Source organism: Homo sapiens, chromosome 11 (assembly GCF_000001405.40).
Source record: "Homo sapiens chromosome 11, GRCh38.p14 Primary Assembly".
Lineage (NCBI taxonomy): Eukaryota > Metazoa > Chordata > Mammalia > Primates > Hominidae > Homo > Homo sapiens.
The window spans coordinates 3665372-3671945 of record NC_000011.10 but is presented as its reverse complement, the minus strand read 5'-3'; the positions used below and the strand labels follow the sequence as shown (position 1 = coordinate 3671945).

Below are 6574 nucleotides of genomic sequence, written 5' to 3'. Positions count from 1 at the left end.
CCCGAGGTATCAGTTTCCGTTGCTCTGTTGTCATAGGCACGGTGTAATTAAGCTAATGAAAGGGCAGAGAGGGAGGGGCTGTGGTCCTGTGCCTCGGACGACTCTGGGCTGATCAAGGGAGGAGTCCCTGGTCCCTGTTCTGCTGAGAGAGCAGCAGGCCCATCTAGAGTCCAGGTGTGGGGAATGGAAGAAGGAAGGAATGAGGGATGAAACAGAAGTAGGAGAAAGGGAGAGAGAGTGGAAAGAGGCAGGCAGGGGATGATCAGAGTCAGGGAGGCAGAGAGACCAAGAAAGTTACAGACGGAAAGAGAAGGAAGCAGAAACAGAGTGAAAGACAAAGCAGGTGGGGAGCATAGGAAAGGGCAGAGGCAGAGGCCAGAAGAGGCAAGGACCAGCAGAGAAGAAGAAAGACCAAGTACTAAAATCCAGGGGCAGGCACAAATTGGAGGGTCAGAAGACTGGAGGGGCTGCAGGGCTCGCTGGAGGGTGGCTGGACCCACCAGAGATCTGTCTTACTTCTGACTTCTAGGTACTGTCCACACCATCCTTGCCAGCTGGGCCTAATTTTGCCCTAGGTCTGGCCAGGAGGCCTCACATCCAGAGACCTGCCCCCGCTCTTGCAGTGCCAGGGCCATGGGGCTCCGGAGCCACCACCTCAGCCTGGGCCTTCTGCTTCTGTTTCTACTCCCTGCAGGTATGAAGCTCAGTACACCAGCCCTGGCCTCTCCTGGTGGTGCTACTATTCCTGTTCTCCCAAAATCCCTTTCCATGTAGTCTCTCTTGTGTTTCTCCTCAGTACCTGTTCTGAGAACAAGCTCTCTATTTGGGGAGTGTGGAGGAGAGGGGTGCTGAAGTGCGTGAGAGGAGACTTGCCTGGCTAGGGTGGAAACAGTGAGCGGGGAGCTTCCAGAGACAGGGCTGGGAAAATCAGAGGGGCCAGATGTTGAAGGGCCTGCCGGCCAGGCCAGGTCTTTCTCCTGCAGATGACGGGGAGCACTGAAAGGTTTCAGCAGCATACTAGCCTGGTCAGATGTGCATGCTTAAAAGCGTGGTCCTGGGGCATGGGAGGGGTAGAAGAAGGTGAGCCTTTGGGGAAAGGGAGACAGTGAAGGGAGGGCCCTGACCTGGAGGGGAGAGGGTAGACTCAAGACGATGTTTCGCAAAATCTGGAGGATTTGAATGATCTGACAGGATCTGGAGATTAACTGGATTCCCCGAGGAGGAGGCAGCAGAGGGAGAAGGGAGGGATAATTCCCAGATTTCCAACTAAGGTCACTGTTGAAGCTGAGGGCATGCTATTTGCTGAGATAGGGAACATGGGATAGGAAGCAGGTTTCAGAGCATGGAGGGAGGAAGCGAGTTCATATTTTGGACCCTCAGAGTTGAAGGTGCCTGTGGGAAACTCAGGAGTGGACTGTACTCTATTGGGGTCTGGAGCTCAGGAGAAAAATCTGGGATGAAGAAAAAGATGGGAGCCAAGGACAGGATTCATGGGAACAATGTTTAGGTCAGGGATTGAGGAAAATTTGTGTCAGTAAAGCCTGGGGAAGTGTGTTTTCAGAGTGAGGGAGTGTTCCATCGCATCAGAAGTTTTGAAGAAACCAGCTCGAGATGGAGAAGTGGAAACAGGTTTGAGAGATACTGGAGGGGGCAGAGCAGTGGGGTTTAGAATCCCTGGGTGAAAGTCTGGACTCTTGTGGCTTATTTGGGCCCCTCTAGCATTTGTGGAGAGGCAGGCAGACTCCAGGTCCTTGAAAAGGGGAGGGTGGAGGAGAAATTTGTCAGCCTGGCGCCAGAAGATAGTACCAGTTCACTCCATGGCCTTTACCTCATGTGTCCCTGCAGGCAGGCCAGGGAGGAACTAGAGCCACAGCTAGAGCAAGAGAAGGCAGACACCAGGAGGACACTCATAAGGACAGGGCCCCAGCCCTGGGAGTGGAGGGTGTGAGCAGAGGCCCTGGGACTAGGGCCTGGGATGGACAACCCTCCTTACTGACCCTCCAGAGTGCCTGGGAGCTGAGGGCCGGCTGGCTCTCAAGCTGTTCCGTGACCTCTTTGCCAACTACACAAGTGCCCTGAGACCTGTGGCAGACACAGACCAGACTCTGAATGTGACCCTGGAGGTGACACTGTCCCAGATCATCGACATGGTGCGTTGTGGTGGTGGTACAGCTGTGGAGTCTTACCTGTCACAGTGTCAAGAAATGAAGGGGTGAGAGACTGGGATTATTCTCCATGGAATTTCTTTTCTGTAAATGTTAATATTAACAAAGGTAGCAGTTACAAACTGTTGGGTACTGACTGTTGGGTACTGAGTATTGGGTGCCTACCTCGTGCCCAATATTTTGTTCACCTGAACTTACTGAATCCCTGCTAAGCAGGGATTCTCACCCCATATTCCTGCTGAGGAAACAGGGGCAGAAAAGAGAAGAGCCCACTAAGGTCACATGGCAAGGTCAGGTCTGGGTGGGAACTGGACGGTATGGACAAGTCAGGTTTGTGGGTGCTGACCAGAGCCCTGCAGGGGAGTGTGCACAGACAGGGCAGGATATGCATATACATGTCCACATCTCTGCCATTCCCTGCCCCCACTAGGATGAACGGAACCAGGTGCTGACCCTGTATCTGTGGATACGGCAGGAGTGGACAGATGCCTACCTACGATGGGACCCCAATGCCTATGGTGGCCTGGATGCCATCCGCATCCCCAGCAGTCTTGTGTGGCGGCCAGACATCGTACTCTATAACAAGTACTGCCTATCTGGGCCCCTCCTCTCTCTTACCCCTCTCTAGACTTGCCCTTAGCTGTGGGGGTGTAGTGATCCCCTCTCCCTACCACATAACCTGGTTGCCACGCTGCCCTGGAAGCTTTTCCCCAGGACCCTTCTAAGCTGCCAGGCACTCAGCCCCTCCATGGCACCCCCACTTTAGGCTATCCCAGGCCAGCCCAGGCTGAACGTCTCCTCGGAACCTACTGTGTGGTCCAGGGCAGTTGTCTGAATCACAAGGGCCTCTCTAGGGCACACTTTTAGCTCTAAGTCTCTCAGGGCTCCCCGAAGAGCCTGTGTAAGGGTCTCTTTCCTCCAGGACATAGCCCTCTGGAACACTGCTTTATGTCTCCTTGACCAGTTCCGTGTCTCCCAGCCAGCACATAGCTCTGCATATTTTCTCTGGGGCCCTTCTACAAGTTTTGCAGATGTCCCCCAAGGGAAGTCACTGTGTGTCCCGGAGCTACCTCTGGGTTCTGCAGAGGCCTTTTTATACATCCTCTGGCTACGTCTGTGTCCCTTCTGGGCCCTTCAGGCACCACCCCTTCCAGGCCTCGAAAGGCAGCGGGTCTCTCTAGGTGCACTCCACCCTCTGTGTTGCTTTGTTCTGAAAACAAGAATCAAATTAACGAAAAAAAAACAAGCACAAGTTTATTTATTTATTTGAGACACAGTCTCGCTCTGTCGCCCAGGCTGGAGTGCAGTGGCGCTATCTCGGCTCACTGCAAGCTCCGCCTCCCGGGTTCACGCAATTCTCCTGCCTCAACCTCCCAAATAACTGGGACTGCAGGCACCCGCCACCACGCCCAGCTAGTTTTTTGTATTTTTAGTACAGACGAGGTTTCACCGTGTTAGCCAGGGTGGTCTCGATCTCCTGACCTCGTGATCCGCCCACCTCGGCCTCCCAAAGTGCTGGGATCACAGGCGTGAGCCACCGCACCCAGCCACAAGCAGAAGTTTATTAATCTGCTGTACCCATCATGGGAGAGGCCTTAGTTCAAAAGTATTTCTCTCTGAAGGCAGTGACTTAGGGGCCTTGCTTAAATAGAAATTCAAGAAAGAGCCAGTAAGTTATAAATAGTGGCAAGACAAAGGACAGCCACCTTTAAAAGGCGGGAAAACGTGGAAAGAGGGTAAAATCTGTTTCCAGATTCCTCTGGCACCTACTGGTGCCCTTTGGATAAGCAAGTGCTGACTCCAGCAAGGAAGGGCTGATGTCCTGCCATCAGGCCAGCAGACGCTGGGGCCAGGTGCTCCCCTGCGTCGTGAGTGTCTCGAACTTAACGAGCCTCAATATTCTGGGGAGAAGTTTTGGTTTCTTTCAGCCCCTGGGGGTCTGCCCTGGGCTCCCGGCCTCCGGGGCTGCTCCTCAGGCTGGACAGCCTAGGTGAGCCCTGCCCCGCCTGCCCCCAGAGCCGACGCGCAGCCTCCAGGTTCCGCCAGCACCAACGTGGTCCTGCGCCACGATGGCGCCGTGCGCTGGGACGCGCCGGCCATCACGCGCAGCTCGTGCCGCGTGGATGTAGCAGCCTTCCCGTTCGACGCCCAGCACTGCGGCCTGACGTTCGGCTCCTGGACTCACGGCGGGCACCAACTGGATGTGCGGCCGCGCGGCGCTGCAGCCAGCCTGGCGGACTTCGTGGAGAACGTGGAGTGGCGCGTGCTGGGCATGCCGGCGCGGCGGCGCGTGCTCACCTACGGCTGCTGCTCCGAGCCCTACCCCGACGTCACCTTCACGCTGCTGCTGCGCCGCCGCGCCGCCGCCTACGTGTGCAACCTGCTGCTGCCCTGCGTGCTCATCTCGCTGCTTGCGCCGCTCGCCTTCCACCTGCCTGCCGACTCAGGCGAGAAGGTGTCGCTGGGCGTCACCGTGCTGCTGGCGCTCACCGTCTTCCAGTTGCTGCTGGCCGAGAGCATGCCACCGGCCGAGAGCGTGCCGCTCATCGGTGAGCAGCGGGGGCGCGGGGGGACCTGACGATGCGCTGGGGTCCCCCCAGGGCGGGGCCGCGACAGGGCCTGGGTCTGCGGAACGGCCCCACTGCAGAAAGTGAGAGGGGGGCGTCCTGGGAACGTGCCCTCATTTTAAGACTGAGGGGAAAGGATTAGCTCCTTCCAGGGAGAACACCCCTCACGACTTGGCCCTTGATGATGGAACATCAGTATCCCCAGATCCTAATGATAGGCAAAATCTGTCGACTGCTTGCTGTGTGCCAGGCACTCCCCTAAGCACTTGACCTTTATTAACTCAGGTAAGCATCACCACAAACCTAGGAAGTAGGTCCTCTGGGTATCCCATTTGTACAAAAAGGATTCGTATCTTGCCCCAGCTCATGCCCGTCGTTATTTGAGAGCGGGACTGTCCTGGATTGTGTATGAGTGCAGCCTCCAGCAGTGACGGGAGCAATTAGAGAGCAGTAGCTTCCGATGACCCACGTGTAGGAATGAAGGATGGGGAGAACTCGGCCCTTACCTCCTTCCTGCTTCCATCCATGGGGCTTGGAGGGTCTGGAGAGCTTCATGGTGGGCTTATTTCCATTTGTGCAGAGGTGGCTGGGAAGCTCAGGAACCACAGGCTTTTGTTTTGAGTCAATTGGCTTTCTCTCTCTCTTGCAGGGAAGTACTACATGGCCACTATGACCATGGTCACATTCTCAACAGCACTCACCATCCTTATCATGAACCTGCATTACTGTGGTCCCAGTGTCCGCCCAGTGCCAGCCTGGGCTAGGGCCCTCCTGCTGGGACACCTGGCACGGGGCCTGTGCGTGCGGGAAAGAGGGGAGCCCTGTGGGCAGTCCAGGCCACCTGAGTTATCTCCTAGCCCCCAGTCGCCTGAAGGAGGGGCTGGCCCCCCAGCGGGCCCTTGCCACGAGCCACGATGTCTGTGCCGCCAGGAAGCCCTACTGCACCACGTAGCCACCATTGCCAATACCTTCCGCAGCCACCGAGCTGCCCAGCGCTGCCATGAGGACTGGAAGCGCCTGGCCCGTGTGATGGACCGCTTCTTCCTGGCCATCTTCTTCTCCATGGCCCTGGTCATGAGCCTCCTGGTGCTGGTGCAGGCCCTGTGAGGGCTGGGACTAAGTCACAGGGATCTGCTGCAGCCACAGCTCCTCCAGAAAGGGACAGCCACGGCCAAGTGGTTGCTGGTCTTTGGGCCAGCCAGTCTCTCCCCACTGCTCCTAAGATCCTGAGACACTTGACTTCACAATCCACAAGGGAGCACTCATTGTCTACACACCCTAACTAAAGGAAGTCCAGAGCCTGCCACTCCCCTAATTCCAAAAAAAAGAGGAACTCTACAAAGGCCAAGATCACAGAGTACAGTCTTGGAGGGACAGAATTGTTTGTGCTGGGTATTGGAGCTCTCAGTGGGGAGCACATGGGTTATAATGAGAAACTGAACTGTACTGCTGCATTTCCTGTCTTCCTTCCTAGGTGGCTGCTTTGCAGGGCTTTGGCTGTTACCTTTCCCTGCTGAGGGGCTCAGGGAAAAGGGTCGGGGATTCTCAGTCGAGTTTCCAGAGCAGGAGGCCCTACAGACATTTGGCCCCAAATCCCTGACTCAATAAAGTAAGCGTGTACCTAGCACCTCCTCGATGCCCTGTGTTACCCATGAGGTCTGTGGTAGTGGAAGCTGGGGGTCCAGGTCTGTCTACTTCAGGTCTCATGGCCGCTGGCGCAAGTCCAAGTTCAAAGCCTGAGAACCTGAAGTTCTAATGTCCAATGGTAAGAGAAGGATGTCCCAGCTCCAGGAAAGAGTGTGAATTTGCCTTTCCCTTATTTTTTTGTCCTCTCCATGCCCT

The 6574-nt window shown here is 55.9% G+C and overlaps 1 protein-coding gene across 3 annotated transcripts; it reads left to right on the top strand.

Moving 5' to 3' along the window:
- The first annotated feature begins 561 nt into the window (after positions 1-561).
- On the top strand, positions 562-6359 carry CHRNA10 (cholinergic receptor nicotinic alpha 10 subunit). Of its 3 annotated transcripts, none has more exons than NM_001303035.2 (5): positions 562-694; positions 2072-2212; positions 2596-2750; positions 4182-4714; positions 5382-6359. In NM_001303035.2, exons 4-5 carry the CDS (start codon positions 4438-4440, stop codon positions 5837-5839), a joined length of 735 nt encoding a protein of 244 aa, NP_001289964.1. In that variant the 5' UTR covers positions 562-694; positions 2072-2212; positions 2596-2750; positions 4182-4437; the 3' UTR covers positions 5840-6359. The 3 variants fall into 3 exon arrangements, with proteins under 3 accessions (NP_001289964.1, NP_065135.2, NP_001289963.1); NM_020402.4 differs by having other exon boundaries at positions 2005-2150; NM_001303034.2 differs by having other exon boundaries at positions 2005-2212.
- The last annotated feature ends 215 nt before the right edge of the window (positions 6360-6574 follow it).